The sequence below is a fragment of the Homo sapiens genome, chromosome 7, assembly GCF_000001405.40.
Source record: "Homo sapiens chromosome 7, GRCh38.p14 Primary Assembly".
Classification (NCBI taxonomy): Eukaryota; Metazoa; Chordata; class Mammalia; order Primates; family Hominidae; genus Homo; species Homo sapiens.
In genome coordinates, this window is record NC_000007.14 from 44,415,105 (window position 1) to 44,435,953 (window position 20,849).

The window sequence follows — 20,849 nt, forward strand, 5'->3', positions numbered from 1 at the left end:
GGGACCTTGGTTCTGGTCTATGATCTACCATCAACCCACCATGAGAGTTTTCTCATCTGCAAAATGAGAGGTTAAACTAAAAATCTCTGGAGTTTAATTTTCAAAAGCATTCCAATTCTGTGATTCAATGAAATGCCAGGTTTATAATCACCCAGGTCTGACATGAGCAATCACAAAAACATCTGTCATTAACTCAAAGTTCCTTGTCTCTATTCTGTGGGTACACTGAAGAGAGAGAGAGAGGGAGTCAGCTGCTTTTCCTAAACAGAGCAGAGTAGATTGAGCAAAGAACATGTGATGGAAAAGACCTAACCACATTTTACTAATGTATGAAATTAAAAGCTTCATTTTGAGAAGTTTTCTTTCAGATTCACTAGCAAGATGATTTTTTTTAAATGTTACGATGTAAAATAGGAACACTTTCTAGTTTTCTTCTAAAGAACATAAAGCATTATGCATACACTCTTATTTGTCTCCTACTACCCTTGAGAGAGCAAGTGTGAACTCATCATACCCATTCTACAGAAAAGGGATCAATGAGAAACTCCAGGAGAGGCAAAGCTCTGATAATGCCTGCATCAAGCTACAGCTGGAGAGTAGAGGATCTGGCTCTCCTGTGAAGCTCTATCCACAGCCCCAACACAAACACTGGGCTGCCTAAGCAAAGCCCCTGAATCACCAACCCAGAACAGATTCTGATTTTATCAGTTGAGTTGTTGCAGCCGGGGTTACCATCGTGACAATGTCCCATAGGTGCCACAGACAAAAAACAAAAATAAACACTGCTGACAGGCAACCGTGACAGGTAGACTTAGGGAATAACTGGCCAGGCCAGAAAGAAAGTACAGCTCTGAAGAAAAACACTTAGACAAGCAAAATCCAAGAGATACAAAATAAACTTTTTCCAAAGTTTTAAGTGAGGTACGACTAAAAAAAAAATCATTCAGCAATTAAGAGACCAAGAATTTTTATTTTTACTTTATTTTATTTATTTTTTGAGATAGGGTCTTACTCTGTTGCCCAAGGTGGAGTGCAGTGGCACAATCACAGTTCGCAGAAGCCTTGACCTCCTGGGCTCAGGTAATCCTCCCACCTCTGCCTCCCAAGTAGCTAGGACTACAGCAGCGTGCCACCATCCCCAGCTAAATTTTTTTTGTGCTGTTTTGTAGAGATGGGCTTTCACCATGATGCCCAGGCTGGTCTCAAATTCCTGGGCTCAAGCAATCTGCCCACCTCAGCCTCCCAAAGTGCTGGGATTACAGGCTTGAGCCACCATGCCAAGCCAAGAATTTTTAAAAGAGGTCTGCAGTTAGGAAGTCGGAGGTTGCAGTGAGCCAAGATGGCGCCACCGCACTCTAGCCTGGGTGACACAGCGAGACTCCAAATCAAAAAAAAATAAAAAATAAAAAAAATAAGAGGTCTGCAGTGTTGTAAGAATGACATGGGGAAAAAAAATACTATTGAAGGAGAAAAAAGTTTTTCCAACCCCATAGGAGATGAAGCATGCCACCAAGGCAGGTCACCAGTACAAATTAGGTCAGCGAGCATCACAAAAGGCCTATTGTCACATAGATATACCGTGTTAATAAATAAATAAGGCAAGCCACTATTAAATAAGCCACTGAAAAAAGAAGTCCCTTCCTTCCATCCTTCTATCCTGATACTTATAACCAAACTTCACCTTCGACCCTTCTCTGAGGTGAGAGAGAGCACTAGCTCCAGAGCAAGCCTTGATTGTGACCTGGCTCTTATTGGCTGAGACCATGCACACACAGCTCTCAGTAGCCCTCATGGGTGCACAGCGACTGCCTGCATGATAGGAGGACTGGGGGGGACAACTCACTATTTCAAGACACAGAGAGGGCACCACACGAGTGCTGGTTAAATACACAAACCACCCACTTTTAGGTTCTATACGGCACCTGCCTCCATCTTGCTCATTTATTTACTGACTTTTACTGCTGTACCCCACTGGGATATAAGCTCCAAACCAGCAATCTTGTCTGTCTTGGTGACTCCCACATGCCCAGTTCCTGGGACAAAGCACAGCCCACACGTTTAGAAAACGTCTAATGTAGAATGAGCCAAATCCAGGGTTATCCTTGGTGATAGTAGAGCCACATCATCTTAGAGGTCATGATAAGTGCATTTGAGAGAGGTGTAAATCTGAACTTCAGACAAGACATCAGGGCAGGACCCTCATAACACGGTGCCGACCACAGGGAAGAATCATGGCATCAACATCCCAGATAGTCAACAAGCATATCTGAGACACCATTTCCAGTGGGGAGTTGTCCCAGGTAGCTGTGCAAAGTATGGTGAAAGCTGTTAGCTAACCTGGGTCTCTTGAGTCAAAAAAAGAGAAAATAACCAGTTTTAGCTTGGGCCTAATACAAACCCTTTCAGAGAAAGCCCCAGGGGTTCATAGAGCAGTTCAGAAGACAGATAAAGGACCAGGAAACTGTAAATTTTTTTTAGCCAAGTGAATGAAGCATGGCAATCGATGCTTTTCCTAATTTATTCAACTACATACACGGCAATACTAACAAAAAATGAAATGGAAATCAACACCTAACCCACTAAAACCCCAAAATTCTGGATAAACTACTTGGGAAGAGCTATTAGCTCCTGCTCCTGGCCTATTAAAAACAGACAGGAAGTAGTCATTTGAAAATAGAATTCCGTGTGGATGATCCCTAGTGATCTGGTCTGACTTTGATCTTAAAATTATACTGAAGTCTATGATTCTAGAGGTCACCAGTTGCTGGTAAGAGATATACTGGGGATGTGGGGTGGGAAGAAGGGAAAATTGAGCACACAGCTACTTGCTGCCGAAGCCAGGCCACCAGCAACTCACTGATCTGTGCCTGTGGTACCTTAAAGGCACAGGGCACTTGCAAAAGTCTCAGTCTTCTTAGGGATGCCATGGACCCCACCCAAACTCCTACACACAGGGCAGGTTTAGGACATGTCTACCTATTTCAAGTGGCCCCTGGAGAATGAAGGAGAGACTGCAGAGGGAGTGGTCATGGAGTCGGAAGGCACAGGACAGGAGGGCCAGAGGGACTCAGCTCCAGGCCAGCCTGGACTTCACACCTACCCAGCCGAGGCAGGAATGGGACTAAGCCTAGTCACCTTACTGTCACCATGTGGGATGCAAGGTGCAAGCCAAGTTGCCCCCACCATACAGAGAGGTTCATTTCCTATAAATGCACATGAGACGTGTTCCAGGACAGTCTCTCCTTCTAAGAAGCCAGCACCACTTGTATGTATAGAGTAAGGAGGGTGGCACAGAGGGAAAAGCATAAGGTTTAGAAGCAGACACACCTGACTCAAACCACAGCTTTGCTACTTCATTCATGCAGCTATTCATTCATTCAAAAACTTATCCAGAGTGCTCACTGTTCCAGGCATAACAACAAGGGAGATGACACTGTGGATTTTCCAAGTTAACTTGGATGATTCAGTAACTTCTCTCAGCCTCAATTTCTCATCTATGAAATAGAATGAATGATATGGGGGGATCTGGCAAGACAGCTGAATAGGAATAGCTCTGGTCTGCAGCTCCCAGTGAGACCAACGCAGAAGGTGGGTGATTTCTGCATTTCCAACTGAGGTACCCTGTTCATCTCATTGGGACTAGTTAGGCAGCGGGTGCAGCCCACAGAGGGTGAGCAGAAGCAGGGTGGGACGTCACCTCACCTGGGAAGTGCAAGGAGCAGGGGGCCTCCCTTTCCCAGCCAAGGAAGCTGTGAAGAACTGTGTTATCCAGCCCAGATACTAAGCTTTTCCCAAGGTTCTTGCAATCTGCAGATCAGGAGATTCCCTCGTGTGCCTACACCACCAGGGCCCTGGGTTTCAAGCACAAAACTGGGAGGCTGTTTGGGCAGACACTGAGCTAGCTGCAGGAGTTTTTTTTTTGTTTGGTTTTTGTTTTTGTTTTCATACCCCAGTGGCACCTGGAACCCCAGCAAGACAGAACCGTTCACTCCCCTGGAAAGGAGGCTGAAGCCAGGGAGCCAAGGGACAATCGAGCTTGGTGGGGGGAAGGGCGCCTGCCATTACTGAGGCTTGAGTAGGTGGTTTTCCCCTAACAGTGCTAAAGAGGCCTGGAAGCTCGGACTGGGTGGAACTCAACACAGCGTGGCAAAGTGGCTGTGGCCAGACTGCCTCTATAGATTCCTTCTCACTGGGCAGGGCATCTCTGAAAGAAAGGCAGCAGCCCAGTCAGGGGCTTATAGATAAAACTCCCATCTCCCTGGGACAGAGCACCTGGGAGAAGGGACGGCTGTGGGCGCAGCTTCAGCAGACTTAAACATTCTTGCCTGCCAGCTTTGAAGAGAGCAACAGATCCTGACAAGGAGGATTCTCCCAGCACAGTGCTCGAGCTCTGCTAAGGGACAGACTGCCTCCTCAAGTGGGTCCCTGACCCCCACACCTCCTGAGTGGGAAAGATCTCCCAACAGGGGTTGACAGACACCTCATACAAAAGAGCTCCAGCTGGCATTAGCCCAGTGCCCCTCTGGGACGAAGCTTCCAGAGGAAGGAGGAGGTGGCAATCTTTGCTGTTCTGCAGCCTCCACTGGTGATACCCAGGCAAACAGGGTCTGGAGTGGACCTCAGCCAATTGGAGCAGACCTGCAGAAGAGGGGCCTGTTAGAAGAAAAACTAACAAACAGAAAGCAACAACATCAACATCAAAAAAAAAGGACCCCCACACAAAAACCCTATACAAAGGTCATCAGCCTCAAAGATCAAAGGTAAATAAATCCATGAAGATGAGGAAAAAACCAGCACAAAAATGCTGAAAATTCCAAAAACCAGAATGCCTCTTCTCCTCCAAATGATCGCAACTCCTCTCCAGCAAGGGCACAAAACTGGACAGAGAATGAGTTTGACAAATTGGCAGAAATAGGCTTCAGAAGGTGGATAATAACAAATTCCTCTGAGCTAAAGGAGTATGTTCTAACCCAATGCAAAAAAGCTAAGAACCTTGACAAAAGGTTACAGGAACTGCTAACTAGAATAACCAGTTTAGAGAAGAACACAAATGACCTGATGGAGCTGAAAAACACAGGATGAGAACTTCGTGAAGCATACACAAGTATCAACAGCCAAATCAATCAAGCAGAAGAAAGAATATCTGAGATTGAAGATCAACTTACTGAAATAAGGTGTGAAGACAAGATTAGAGAAAAAAGAATGAAAAGGAACGAACAAAGCCTCTAAGAAATATGGGACTCTGTGAAAAGACCAAACCTACGATTGACTGAGTGTCCCTGAAAGTGACAGGAGAATGGAACCAAGTTGGAAAACACACTTCATGATATTATCCAGGAGAACTTCCCCAACCTAGCAAGACAGGCCAACATGCAAATTCAGGAAATATAGAGAACACCACGAAGATACTCCTTGAGAAGAGCAACCCCAAGACACATAATCGTCAGATTCTCCAAGGTTGAAACGAAGGAAAAAATGTTAAGGGCAGCCAGAGAGAAAGGTCAGGTTATCTACAAAGGGAAGCCCACAGACTAACAGCAGATCTCTCTGCAGAAACTCTACAAGCCAGAAGACAGTGAAGGCCAATATTCAATATTCTTAAAGAAAAGAATTTTAAACACAGAATTTCATATCCAGCCAAACTAAGCTTCATAAGTGAAGGTGAAATAAAATCCTTTACAGACAAGCAAATGCTAAGAGATTCTGTCACCACCAGGCCTGCCTTACAAGAGCTCCTGAAGGAGGCACTAAATATGGAAAGGAAAAACCGGTACCAGCCACTGCAAAAACATACCAAAATATAAAGACCAACAACACTATGAAGAAACTGCATCAACTAATGTGCAAAATAACCAGCTAGCATCATGATGACAGAATCAAATTCGCACATAACAATATTAACCTTAAATATAAATGGGCTAAATGCCCCAATTAAAAGACACAGATGGGCCAGGAGTGGTGGCTCACACCTGTAATCCCAGAGCTTTGGGAGGCCAAGGTGGGTGGATCACGAGGTCAGGAGTTCGAGACCAGTCTGGCCAATATGGTGAAGACAGGGGTCTCTACTAAAAATACAAAAATTAGCTGGGCATGGTGGCGTGCACCTGTAGTCCCAGCTACATGGGAGGCTGAGGCAGGAGAATCACTTGAACCTGGGAGGCAGAGGTTGCAGTGAGCCAAGATTGCGCCACTGACTCCAGCATGGGCAACAGAGCAAGACTCCGTCTAAAAAAAAAAAAAAAAAACCACACACAGACTGGCAAATTGCATAAAGAGTCAAAATCCATCAGTGTGCTGTATTCAGGAGACCCATCTCATGTGCAAAGACACACATAAGCTCAAAATAAAGGGATAGAGGAATATTTACCAAGCAAATGGAAAGCAAAAAAAAAAAAAAAAAGCAGGGGTTGCAATTCTAATCTCTGATAAAACAGACTTTAAACCAACAAAGATCAAAAAAGACAAAGAAGGGCATTACATAATGGTAAAGGGATCAATGAAACTAGAAGAGCTAACTATCCTAAATATATATGCACCCAATACAGGAGCACCCAGATTCATAAAACAAGTTCTTAGAGACCTACAAAGAGACTTAAGACTCCCAAACAATAATAGTGGGAGACTTTAACACCCCACTGTCAATATTAGATCAACGAGACAGAAAATTAACAAGGATATTCAGGACTTGAACTCAGCTCTGGACCAAGCTGACCTAATCCACAGAATATACATTCTTCTCAGCACCACATAGCACTTATTCTAAAATCGACCACACAATTGGAAGTAAAACACTCCTCAGCAAATGCAAAAGAACGGAAATCATAACAAACAGTCTCTCAGACCACAGGGCAATCAAATTAGAACTCAGGATTAAGAAACTCACTCAAAACCGCACAACTACATGAAAACTGAACAACTTGCTCCTGAATGACTACTGGGTAAATAATGAAATTAAGGCAGAAATAACGAAGTTCTCTGAAACCAATGAGAACAAAGAGACAACATACCAGAATCTCTGGGACACAGCTAAAACGGTGTTAACAGGGAAATTTATAGCACTAAATGCCCACATCAGAAAGTGGGAAAGATCTAAAATTGACACCCTAACATTGCAATTAAAAGAACTAGACAAGCAAGAGCAAACAAATTCAAAAGCTAGCAGAAGATAAGAAATAACTAAGATCAGAGCAGAACTGAAGGAGATAGAGACATGAAAAACTCTTAGAAAAAAATCAATGAATCCAGGAGCTGTTTTTTTTAAAAGATTAACAAAATAGACCACTAACCAGAATAATAAAGAAGAAAGAAGATAAGAATCAAATATACACAATAAAAAATGATAAAGGAGATATCACCACTGATCCCACAGAAATAAAAGCTACCATCAGAGAATACTATAAACACCTCTATGCAAATAAACTAGAAAATCTAGAAGAAATGGATAAATTCCCAGACATACACACCCTCCCAAGACTAAACCAGGAAGAAGTCAAATCCCTGAAAAGACCAATAACAAGTTCTGAAATTGAGGCAATAATTAACAGCCTACCAACCAAAAAAGCTCAGGGCCAGACGGATTCACAGCCGAATTCTACCAGAGGTACAAAGAGGAGCTGGTACCATTCCTTCTGAAACTATTCCAAACAATAGAAGAAGACAGACTCCTCCCTACCTCCCTAACTCATTTTATGAGGCCAGCATCATCCTGATTCCAAAACCTGGCAGAGACACAACAAAAAAAGAAAATTTCAGGCCAATATCCCTGATGAACGTCGATGTGAAAATCCTCAAAATACTGGCAAACTGAATCCAGAAGCACATCAAAAAGCTTATCTACTACGATCAAGTCGGCTTCATCCCTGGGATGTAAGGCTGGTTCAACATATGAAAATCAATAAATGTAATCCATCACATAAACAGAACCAGTGACAAAAACCACATGATCATCTCAAAAGATGCAGAAAAGGCCTTCAATAAAATTCAACACCCCTTCATGCTAAAAACTCTCAACAAACTAGGTACTAATGGAACATATCTCAAAATAATAAGAGCTATTTATGATAAACCCATAGCCAATATCATACTGAATGGGCAAAAGCTGGAAGCACTGCCTTTGAAAAGCGGCACAAGACAAGGATGCCCTCTCTCACCACTCCTATTCAACACAGTATTGGAAGTTCTGGCCAGGGCAATCAGGCAAGAGAAAGAAATAAAGCGTATTCAAATAGGAAGGGAGGAAGTCAAATTGTCTCTGTTTGCAGATGACATGATCGTACATTTAGAAAACCCCACTGTTTCAGCCCAAAAACTCCTTAAGCTGATAAGCAACTTCGGCAAAGTCTCAGGATACAAAATCAATGTGCAAAAATCACAAGCAATCCTATATACCAATAATAGACAAGCAGAGAGCCAAGTCATGAGTGAACTCCCATCCGCAATTGCTACAAAGAAAATAAAATACCTAGAAATACAACTTACAAGGGACATGAAGGACCTCTTCAAGGAGAACTACAAACCACTGCTCAAGGAAATAAGAGAGGACACAAACAAATGGAAAAAAAATCCATGCTCATGGATAGGAAGAATCAATATTGTGAAAATGGCCATACTGCCCAAAGTAATTTATAGACGCAATGCTATTCCCACCAACCTACCATTGACTTTCTTCACAGAACTAGAAAAAAACTACTTTAAATTTCATATGGAACCAAAGAACAGCCCACATAGCCAAGACAATCCTAAGCAAAAAGAACAAGGCTGAAGGCATCATGCTACCTGACTTCAAACTATACTACAAGGCTACAATAACCAAAACGGCATAGTACCGGTACCAAAAGAGATATATAAACCAATGGAACAGAACAGAGGCCTCAGAAATACCACCACACATCTACAACCATCTGATCTTCAACAAACCTAACAAAAACAAGCAATGGGGAAAGGACTCCCCATTTAATAAACAGTGCTGGGAAAACTGGCTAGCCATGTGCAGAAAACAGAAACTAGGCCCCTTCCTTACACCTGATACAAAAATTAACTCAAGATGGATTAAAGACTTAAACATAAAACCTAAAACCATAAAAACCCTAGAAGAAAACCTAGGCAATAGCATTCAGGAACAGGCATGGGCAAAGACTTCATGACTAAAACACCAAAAGCAATTGCAACAAAAGCCAAAATTGACAAATGGGATCTAATTAAACTAAAGAGCTTCTGCTCAGCAAAAGAAACTATCGTCAGAGTGAACAGGCAACCCACAGAATGGGAGAAAATTTTTGCAATCTATCCATCTGACAAAGGTCTAATATCCAGAATCTACAAGAAACTTAAACAAATTTACAAGAAAAAAAAAATCCCATCAAAAGGTGGGCAAAGGATATGAAGAGACACTTCTCAAAAGAAGACATTTATGTGGCCAACAAACATGGAAAAAAGCTCATCATCTCTGTTCATTAGAGAAATGCAAATAAAAACCACAACGAGATACCATCTCATGCCAGTTAGAATGGCGATCATTAAAAAGTCAGGAAACAACAGATGCTGGCGAGAATGTGGAGAAATAGGAACACTTTTACACTGTTGGTGGGAGTGTAAATTAGTTCAACCATTGTGGAAGACAGTGTGGTGATTCCTCAAGGATCTAGAGCCAGAAATACCATTTGACCCAACAATCCCATTACTGGGTATATATATACCCAAAGGATTATAAATCATTCTACTATAAAGATACATGCACATGTATGTTTACTGCAGCACTATTTACAATAGCAAAGACTTGGAACCAACCCAAATGCCCATCAATGATAGACTGGATAAAGAAAATGTAGCATATATACACCACGGAATACTATGCAGCCATAAAAAAGAATGAGTTCATGTCCTTTGCAGGTACATGGATGAAGCTGGAAACCATCATCCTGAGCAAATTAACACAGGAACAGAAAACCAAACACTGCATGTTCTCACTCATAAGTGAGAGTTGAACAATGAAAACACATGGACACAGGGAGGGGAACATCATACACCAGGGCCTGCCAAGGGGTCGGGGGAAAGGGGAGGGAGAGCATTAGGACAAATACCTAATGCATGCGGGGCTTAAAACCTAGATGACGGGTTGATAGGCACAGCAAACCACCATGGCACATGTAAACCTATGTAACAAACCTGCATGTTCAGCACATGTATCCCAGAACTTAAAGTAAAATAAAAATTTAAAAAAAGAAATTTACAACAAAATAGAATGAAATTACTTACTTCACAGGTTGCAGGTTCTCATGAAGAAGGAAACATGGATACAGTTTCTGGCATATATCAAATTTTTTTATATTATGGATTTAAATTATGTAATGTCCCATTTTGCATTGTTACTTGAGATTTTTTAAAGTGGAAATTATCTATTTACAACAACCTATGATAATGTTATTCTTATCACAATTCCTTGAGTAGACATCTCTCTCCCACTAAAAGATTAAACTTCCACTGGGAACAATGGCTCACACCTGCAATCCCAGCTACTCAGAAGGCTGAAGTGGGAAGATCATTTGAGGCCAGGAGTTCAAGACCAGCCTGGGAAACAGCAGGACCCTATCTCTACAAAAAATTTTTTTTAAACTTAACCAGGCATGATAGCAAGCACCTGAAGTCCCAGTTACTCAGGAGGCTAAGGTGGGAGAATAGCTTGAACCCAGGAGTTCAAGGCTACAGTGAGCTGCGATCATGCCATTGCACTCCAGCCTGAGTGACAGAATGAGGTCATCTCTATCAAAAAATTAAAAAAGATTAAACGTCTACTCACTTAAACTCATTAGATGGAGGTTTCAGAAACTTTAGTGTTTGAAACTCAAGTTGCGAATGTTACAGGTACATCATGACATGGTGTGGCTCCAGTGGCGCAATCGGTTAGCATGCGGTACTTATAGGACATGGCTCCCTGCTCCATGGAAGAGCCCCACAGCACACAGGCCTGGCCGTCCACTTCATCGCTGTGACCTGGGTTCTTTGCTTTGCCTCTCAGGACTGGATGGGGCTTCAATGGGTCTCACCCATGACCTGATGTAGTTTAAAGGGGGGTGACCGGGTGTTTGTAGCTGAAGAAAAATAAATTTTGTGTTTGTTGCTGAGGGGAACAAAGGCCCACAGCCTGACACCTGTTCCCTGAGGAGGCATAAAAGAAACCTGGGGAAAGGAGAATGGTTGGTATCAGTGCACAAACTACAGACCTACCCATCACGCCGCTAAGCAGTAACAGAGGCACAGGGAGTGACACCAGGTGGCTGGCCCCGGCAGGGATGGGATGCCCTTAGAGGACTCCAAGTCAACCTTAGAAAAGAGGGTGTGGGGATCAGGAAGCTTATCCTCAGCACATGCATGCCACCTATGTGAATGGAGGAAATAAAAAAATAGCAAGGGAGGCCGGGCGCGGTGGCTCACGCCTGTAATCCCAGCACTTTGGGAGGCCGAGGCGGGCGGATCACGAGGTCAGGAGATCGAGACCATCCTGGCTAAAACAGTGAAACCCCGTCTCTACTAAAAATACAAAAAATTAGCCGGGCGTAGTGGCGGGCGCCTGTAGTCCCAGCTACTTGGGAGGCTGAGGCAGGAGAATGGCGTGAACCCGGGAGGCGGAGCTTGCAGTGAGCTGAGATCCCGCCACTGCACTCCAGCCTGGGCGACAGAGCGAGACTCCGTCTCAAAAAAAAAAAAAAAAAAAAATAGCAAGGGAAGCAAGTGGGGACGCTGGGATGAGGTGGGCCTGTCCCTCCCTCCATCCCTCCTGTGCAGCCATGTTGTTGCCCTGAGAGAACTGCAGAGTCTTAGAGCTCTCTCCTGTGATTAAAGGTTGTGGAGAATTAAATCATAAACCTTTCATCTCTGTGATGCATGGCTCATCACCATACACGGGGAGGTGCTACCCACTGTGTCATTTTGTCTAATTTGAGTTTATTAGACCCTGGGCTGGCAAAGCCCAGGAAACTCACATGACAGATGCTATGTGAATGTATGTTAGCTATCACTGTGCGTTTAGTAGACTGGACTTTTCTTAGGGAAACTGAAGGCAGATTTAATCTTTAGGAAAAAAGAGAATTCACCAAGGTAATAATGTTTGAGTATTCCCTTGAAAACTGAGAAGCTGGCCATCTACAATAGGAACCCCAGGAGAGTCTATGGCTGTATTTATAAAAGAGGTGAAGACATCAGATGTGTGGGCTTCTCTCTCAGGAAGCAGTGTGAACAGGGTTCACCATCCCCAAAGGGAGGTTTCTGCAGAAGAGCTGGGAGAACCTCACAAACAGAATAAGGGGAGCAAGGATGGTGTGCTCAGCTCATTCCGAGGGCAGGAGAAGGAACACACCTCACATCCTAAAGCCGATCTCAACACTCCCTCAAGGATGCTGGTGGGTCTTCCCTGCAACAGCTTTGACTGGCTTGGGTGAAGCCGCCCACCCCTACCCGCCAAGGCCATTACCTGCTTTCCCTTCACCACGTGCTTGGGTACTGGCACCCTGACCTCCAGGTCAGTATAGTCCTGTGACCAGGTGTAGTTCTCTCGGACAGCACCATTGTAACTGTCGGGATTTTTCTGGAACTGCTCCTGAATCCTGAGAAAGAATAAAAAATGTGATCCCAGTCAGCCATGCCTGAGCAGAGGACCCCATGGGCAGCCTAGCCCATGCCACTCCTACATCCTGGAGACGTGACCAACTCAAGTTTCATCTCAAGTTCACTGGCTCTGGCATCTGCAAACTCCTCTTCTTTTCAGGTGATTTCCTTTCTGACCCTCCTACATGGTACCCATGGAAATCACAGGACAAGGGCAAAGCTACAGAAAAGAAACCCCAGTGCAGCATCCTACAGTTTAGGAAAAGTGTCTGTGACCACAGTCAAACCATAGCTGGTACTGCCAGCCTTCACAGTACTGAGATCCAGGCCTGTTAATTAACCAGAGGGCTCTTATTAATAAAATCCTTAGGCTCATGAGTCCTTGGTTTCTTATAAACTGCTTGGCAGGGTCAATCTTTAAAAAAAAAAAAAAAAAAAAAAAAAAAGAGGCCAGGCGTGGTGACTCACACCTGTAATCCCAGCACTTTGGGAGGCCAAGGGCGGGTGAATCACCTGAGGTATGGAGTTTGAAACCAACCTGGCTAACATGGTGAAACCCTGTCTCTACTAAAAATACAAAAATTAGCTGAGCATGGGAGCACATGCCTGTAATCCCAGCTACTTGGGAGGCTTGGGCAGGAGAATCGCTTGAACCTGGGAGGCGGAGGTTGCAGGTTGCAGTGAGCCAAGATCACACCATTGCACTCCAGCCTGGGCAACAAGAGCAAAACTCTGCTCAAAAAAAAAAAAGGCAAAACCACTTCATCCTGCAGCTGCTAAACTTCAATCCTAATCCAACCCCTAGCCTCTATTTTTTCATAGTAAATAAATCACAGCTAAAAGGACTGCATTAAAATTGTATGCATCATTGTTAAGACATAAGCAGTATGTTTAATGAGACAGCCTAAAAAACTCAATCAAGCAAATCTTATTGTATAGGCCTGTTATAAACACAGCACTAAATACAGATAGGCCTACCAAGAAGAAGCTGATGTTAAAAATAAAATATAATATTTTCCATAAAATGTAACAATGCTAATAATATAAACATTATGTAAGTTTAGACTCACAAGTCCATTATAGTGAACTGAAGATCTAAATTACAGACAAAAGCCTAGTCATGGAGAAGGCAGCAGCTATGAACACAGAACATTCCAACAGTAGGTGCATCTCAGTCAACTTCTCCAGGGCCTGCTCAGAGATTAGCAGACAAAACCTGGCAGGGAGACGGCCCCATGGGCTTGTAAACAATGTGTGCACTATGATCTGGTTCACACAGGAAAACACAAAACTACATGTATCTACATCTATATAGATGCACATACAAGACAAGGATTGGGAAGGGGTGGTTCAAGAGGGCAGGCTTTCTCTGGCCAGAGTTCTAAGACAAGAACATATTTACCTACTGTGGGTATGCCCTGCACACTGTCTATGCATGAAGCTGGGCCTCCACCACGGCCTGAGTCCTCTGGGCTGGGCAATAGTGGCTGTTAAGAACTGAATTGGGTCCCCTAAAACGCTATGTTGGAATCTTAATCCCCAGGACCTCAGAATGTGACCTTAATAAAAACAGGGTCTTTACACAGGTGATGCAGTTACAACAAGGTCATTAGGGTGGGCCCTAATCCACTATGACTGATGTCCTTAAAAGGGGGACTTTGGAGAGATGACGTGAAGGCCATGTGGAGACAATGGGGTGATGTGCCTATAGGCCAAAAAACGTCAAGGACCGCAGGCCACCACCTAAAGCTGGAAGAGGAGAGGGAAGATCTTCCCCTAAGACCTTCAGAGGGAACATGGCCCTGCTGACACCTTGATCTCAGACTTCCCCTCTAGGAACTGTGAAGAATCAACATTTTTCGTTTAAGCCGGCCATTTTGTGGTACGTTATTGTGGTAGCCTGAGCAAACACAGTGGCTAAGGAAACTAATTTCAATCAGAGGTGATATTCAAAATTCAGCACTGAATATTGGCAGGACTAGGCACTAACCAATCGGAAGAGATGTTAGCCTTAAACTACTCACACAGGCGGGCCACTGTGGGACAGAGAGATGACATACAGAAACCAGGAGTTACATAGGATTCCTGACTGAATGACATGAGAAAAGAGGGTGGGGGGAAGGAAACTAAAGAATGCTCAATAGGTTGAAAATGGACAGCAAAAGAAAGATTTAGATGCAACCAATAAACATATTTTCAAAGACTATTTAGTAATATGAAGAAAGCTTTCAATATACCATAAAACTGAAAAGTGGGTATTATTACTTTTAAGTATGGTATGACTTTAATTTCTAAGAAGAAATATATAATATACACACAAGTGTGCACATATATATGAAAAAGACTGAAAGGAAGCACATTAAATTTTTGTGGTTATCTCTGATAGTAGAGTAACAGGAATCTTTCTTCTTTGTACCTAGGTATTATCCAAACTCCCTAGAATATGTAGACATTTTTATAGCCAAGAGAAAAATGGTTCTCTTTAAAAAATGCTAACAGGAGACAGTGATGCACCCTGCAGCCCCTGTACCCAGGTGCGGTCCCACGGCCACGGCAGCAGCACTAGCCTGACCCTTGGAGCAGGGTACGAAGGAGTCAGACACAGAGAGGGGGACTCACCCAGACCCCAAGTTTCCACAGGATCCTTCTAGGTGAGCACTGACAGCAGCTTTAAGACTCATATCTGACATAAATATGCTTAAACATGCAGAGAATATCTCCAAAAGAACAATAGGGTAGCAGCAGCTACCTTTATGGCTGGAAACTGGAGACTTCTCTTCATTGACACTTTTGTACATACATTACCATTTGAAAAAAGTCAAAATTGTGAAAATATATAAATAAAATACCCACACACACACACACTCACACACACACACACACACACACACACACACACAAAAGACCAACATGGCCCCAGCACTTGGCAGAGATCAGGGAGTAAACATGAAGACTCCTCAAAAGTTGGGAAAAAGAAACGGCTCTCTCAAGAAAGGAGAATGAGTATAATGCCGGGGGATATCCTTGGGGACGCTGCCGCCAGCAACAGTGCAGTCACTTGGCCTATACCACCAGTGATGCCCACATGGGTTCTGCCTCCTCCAGGGCAAAAGGCTGTCAGTCTCTGCCTTCGAGTGAGGGGGGACATCTGACACCCTTGCCACTACACGCTGCAGTAAAGCTGTATGCTTTTGGAAAGGGCTCTGATCACACAGAACCTGCCTAACCCCATCCTCCTGCCGTGTCCTCAGTAGCCCTGGCCTGGCTCCTCTTGCATGGAACCTGCAGATTCCCTCCAAAGGAAGCAGGAGAATCACTCCTAAAACAGCCCTTGCAAGTTGTTGGGTGCTTTTTATAGTGCTCTGAATGCACATTCTATTTAAATAAGGTTGATTATTTCCAGCCAACAGTATGTAAAAATAAGCATCCTGTCAAGTGCAGGTGTCTCTGGCCCCCACTGTGCCACTGTTGGTCACCCCTGCAGCTGCAGGCCTGGGCACATGGTAGGAGGCAGGGGAGGGAGCATCCATGCTTCAGCACCAAGGGTGGGAGTAGGAAAGTGAGTCAGCAGTCAGGTTGAAGATTATGGAGTAGGTCTCCCTGCAGCTCCCACTCCTGATGAGCTGGGATAACAAGGTTCTAAATGTGTTAAAGGAAAAACACAGAACAGGCTCTGTTGGGTGCTGTGGGTAGCAGGGCCCTCTGTCTCCTTGGGGATAGGCCAGACCCTTCCTGGCAGACTGCAGGCCTAGGCGCTCCTGAGTGTGGCAAGCCAGGCACCAGGGTCACCTGCACAGGGAGAGCTAGCAGCACTGCCACCAGGAGTCACTGTCATGCAGACAAGCAGTTCCTGAGTAGGTGAGGTTTCTGACCGGGTTCCTGAGACTCATGGTCAGGAAACTGACCTACCCAATCTGCCTGTTTGAGTGCTGCCACTAGAAACAAAAAGGTCCTCTCTCCTTCCTTTTTTTTTTTTTTTTTTTTTTGAGACGGAGTCTCACTCTGTCACCCAGGCTGGAGTGCAGTGCCACGATCTCGGCTCACTGCAACCTTCACCTCCCAAGTTCACATGATTCTCCTGCCTCAATCTCCAGAGTAGCTGGGATTACAGGTGCGCACCACCACTCCCAGCTAATTTTTATATTTTAGTAGAGATAGGGTTTCACCATGTTGGCCGGGCTGGTCTCGAAATCCTGACCTGAAGTGATCTGCCTGCCTCAGCCTCCCATAGTGCTGGGATTACGTGCGTGGGCCACCGTGCCCAGCCTCCTTCCATTTGTTTTTAAAAACCACAGGATTAGGCTAGGCTCACACTTGCAATCAATCTCAGCGATTTGGGAGGCCAAAACAGGAGGATTACTTGAGGCCAGGAGTTTGAGACCAGTCTGGGCAACGTAGGAAGACCCATCTCTACAAAAAATTTTAAAATTAGCCACACATAGTGGCACACACCTGTAGTGCTGGCTACTCGGAGGGTTGAGGTGGGAGAATAGCTTGAGCCCAGGCGTTTAAGGTTATAATGAACTATGATTGTACCACTGCACTCCAGCCTAGATGACAGAATGAGACCCTGTCTCTAAAACAAAACAGGATCAGACAATTCTGATTTTCAAAAAGCTAGTGGCAAGTATGTAAAATGAAGAGTAAAAGGAGGTCAAAGACCTAACCTGAAGAGTTTTGTCTAGGAAGCTAGAGCCCCAAACCTATAATAGATTTATAATTCAATGAGACAAGGGCTGACCTCAAGCTCTTCTCCAGAGAGAGAATGCCTATGATAGGCACTGACTGCCTGACTAAAGGCAAGGTTTGGCTCCCCAAGTCACAGCCAGTGATTCCAAAGCGGAGGTGTTTGCACAGAAATGTCAAGCTTGCTGCTCCCCACTTCCCGCCCCCTGGGGCTCAGTGATTGAGGCCCGGTTTGTCAACCCCCTCTCCACCACCCCAAATACAGCTGTTCTTTCATGTCTCTTGCAATCAATCCTGTCTACCCTTTAAATGTTCACACTCTTAACTACATTGCCCTTAACTACATTGCGCAAAAGCCACTACTCTGTGCAAAGATGACAACATCCCTGTCACCCTCATCTCCTTCCATTATCCCAGGTGTAAGAGCTGTCATCACACCTCACCACCTGTTGACCTCACTGTCCCCTCAGGAGAGGTCCCACAACATCTGGGTGCAATGTACATATATGTGCTAGGGTCTGAAATGTTTGTGTTCCCCTAAAACGTGTATCTTGAAATCCTAACCCCGAAGGTGATGGCAGTAGGAGGTAAGGCCTTTAGAAGGTGATTAGGTCATGAGGGTGGAGGCTCTGAGTGGGATTAGTGCCCTTACATGGAGGCCTCAAAGAGCTTCCTCATCCCTTCCACTATGGGAGGACACCACAAGAAAACAGAGGTCCATGAATCAGGAAGCAGGGCCTCCCCAGACACTGAATCTTCTGGTGCCTTGATCTTGGACTTCCAACATCCAGAACTGTGAGAAGTAAATTTCTCACAGAAGCTACCCAGGCTATGCTATTTTGTTATAGTAGCCCAAATGGACTAGGCCAACATGTGTGTGTGTGTGTATAGTACATGTGTGTGGCATGTGTGCAGTGCACTGTGTGGTAAAAGTATGTGTGCACTATATGTGTGTGTGGGGTACGTGTGTGCATACAATGTGTGTGTGCCACATGCATGCGGCTGGTGCATGTGTACCTGCATGTGCATGTGGGCACATGTACTGTGTGTGCAGTTTGTGTGTGTGGTGTATGTGTGTGGTGCACATGTGCATGCAATGTGTGTGTGGTGCATGTGGGCATGCAGTGTGTGTGTGCTATGTGCATGTGTGTGGTATGCATGTATGCACACAGTGTGCATATGCGTGCATAAGGTATAGTATGGGCACGCAGTATATATGTGTGTGATGTACGTGCCATGGGTATGAGGCAACCAGCAGACATGGCTCACTCCCTCCCTTGAAATTCTCACCTGTCTCTTATCAATTTTCTTCTCATCTCACTGACCTGGCACATCCCACACCTGGATGGCAGCCATGGCTGCGTCTCTTCTCAGTTTCTTCACATGCCACTGTGATTACATTATTCTCAACAACCTCATATGGCTCCCCACGGCCCAGGAGACAAGGCCAGGGCCTCAGCAAGGCACTCGAGGTAGCCCATGATTGAGTCGTCATGACTCCTTCCTCCCTTTTTCCTCCTGCTCCCACAAATGAATCCTCCTCCTCATCTGTCAACTCTTCTCTGCCTATGCTCAATCTCAACTCAAGATTTCTTCCACCTGATGGAAATACGGTGAATTTTCTTCTGGGTTTCTTCATTTTCAAAGCTTTACAAAATAAGCATTATTATAAAAATGACCCATCCTTGAGGCCCACTGCCCTGCTTCTGAAGCCTAAAACTCATGGTCTGCCAGGCCCACTTCCTACTTCTCGGTTTTATCTTCCTAGGAGTGTTCACTCCTGAGAGCTCGTCCACTCATGCTGATTTCAGTGCTCAAAAATGACTCGATGCCTGGACCCCAGCCCTGGGCCCCCAGCTGCCAGGTCTGCCCCAACGCCAGCAACCCAGACGTAGCCTGGGCCTTGGTCTTGGCCTCTGCAGCCTTCAACCTTTTCACTTACAAAGGGACAGGCTGGAGCCAGTCACTACTCCCAGGCTTCCACACAGACAAGCACCTCACACTAACCAGCCTTCCTGCAACTCTTGCCAGATTCGTCTGTCTAGAGGGTGGTGCCTCCCTGCCTGCTGCCCAGCTCTCACTGAGGTTCCCCTACCCGCCAGGCTCCTTTCATTGTTGTGGATGCATTATTTCTAAGTTCATGCTTCTTTACTAGCAGGGATGTGACCCCCCCGCCCCGCAATATCAGGCCAACTGTGGATACCCTGCCACCTCAGCCAGACACACAAAAGGTTTGATGCCAATGCAGCAAGCAGCCACCCCAGGCCACGGGCTCTGGTCTCAAGTATGTCCTACAAATCAATGTCTCCAAGCCAGTCCCCTAGCAGTCAAGCAGTTTCCCTGAATGCTCTGTGTGTCCGTGGTGTCCAACCTGAGGTCAAGCCCAGCTTCCCCGCACAGCAACCAGGTAACGGTGACTAGGTCACTCAGCCTCTCTGTGCCTTGGTCTCCTGACCTATAAAATGGGAACACTAATAGCATCTCTCCCAAAAGGTAGCTGTGAGGAACAAACCATTTAAAATGACTAAAACAAGGTCTCGTGACACTCAGTATTGCTTTCTCACTCACTGCTTTCCCTTTAGAAAGTCTTTGGCTATGGAAAGAACTCACTGAGCAGCTTTTATGACTATGGGATGATTCTTGAACCCTCTGAGACATTTGGAGAGAGAAGTTATGTCTTTTGCCTAGTAATTCTACACTTCTTTATTGCCTAATAATTCTACACTTTTTTTAGATTTTTCTAAAAATCTAGTATCAATAATTTTATCAATACCTGATTGTTATCTGTTTAGCATCTACCACACTTTGGTCTTGCAATGACAGTAGCCTGCCTACTTTAAAGACAATGCTAACTCACCAAGAGGAGAGCCAGAGTTCCTGGAGATGTAGCTAGTCCCCAACCTGGGACCAGAACACACACGGTAAGCCTAGCCGTCTTCCTTACAAGTGGGGAACTGTCAAAGACCAGGAGGGTCATGCTGAAAGGACACATGAGCCAATTTCAGAAGGCTCCCTGCTGGCCAAAGACGGGACAATCAGAAATAAATAAATAAAGTCCACAATGGACTGAAGCACGTAGCATATGAAAAATCCATGAGTTCATAAAACGAAATCTCCAGGGGTCACCTTTGGTGATCAGAGAACAGCTCAACTTGAAAAGTCATCAATAAAATGGTTCCATAGGAACTGTAATTTCAGAAAGGCCATGCCCCTAAATAAGAATTCCAGATAATAAGCAAAGAATGTAAAACACAATGAGAACATCACTATCTTGCACCATCTTCTGTAATGAAGGCAATGAGTCTGGCAACTTTCATTCATTCCTGGTGGGCACCAGGTGAAAAGCTGAGGAGGAACCTGTGACAGAAGGATCCAGAACACCCCAAATATCTGTGACACACATGCCATGTACCTCCTGAGAGGGCCTGCCTATTGGGTACCCCTGCCCCCAACACAGGACCTCGAATCCATTCCAACCTACAGGTCTGAATACCACTTTACAATAAAGACGAGGGGCAGAGAAGCATGGCCATCACAACCAGGAGCACACAGTCAGCCAGATC

At 44.8% G+C, this 20,849-nt stretch overlaps 1 protein-coding gene across 4 annotated transcripts in view; it reads right to left on the minus strand.

The window, feature by feature from the left end:
- Positions 1-20,849, minus strand: part of NUDCD3 (NudC domain containing 3) — a 111,540-nt gene that overhangs the window by 35,986 nt on the left and 54,705 nt on the right. For 2 of the 4 annotated variants that reach the window (NM_015332.4, XM_011515247.3), the window contains exon 3: positions 12,467-12,599. In NM_015332.4, coding sequence (NP_056147.2) covers positions 12,467-12,599 — 133 coding nt within the window. Of the gene's footprint in view, positions 1-8,966; positions 11,176-12,466; positions 12,600-20,849 lie in introns of those variants that run through there. The other 2 variants (XR_007059994.1, XM_017011908.2) reach the window with 2 other exon arrangements.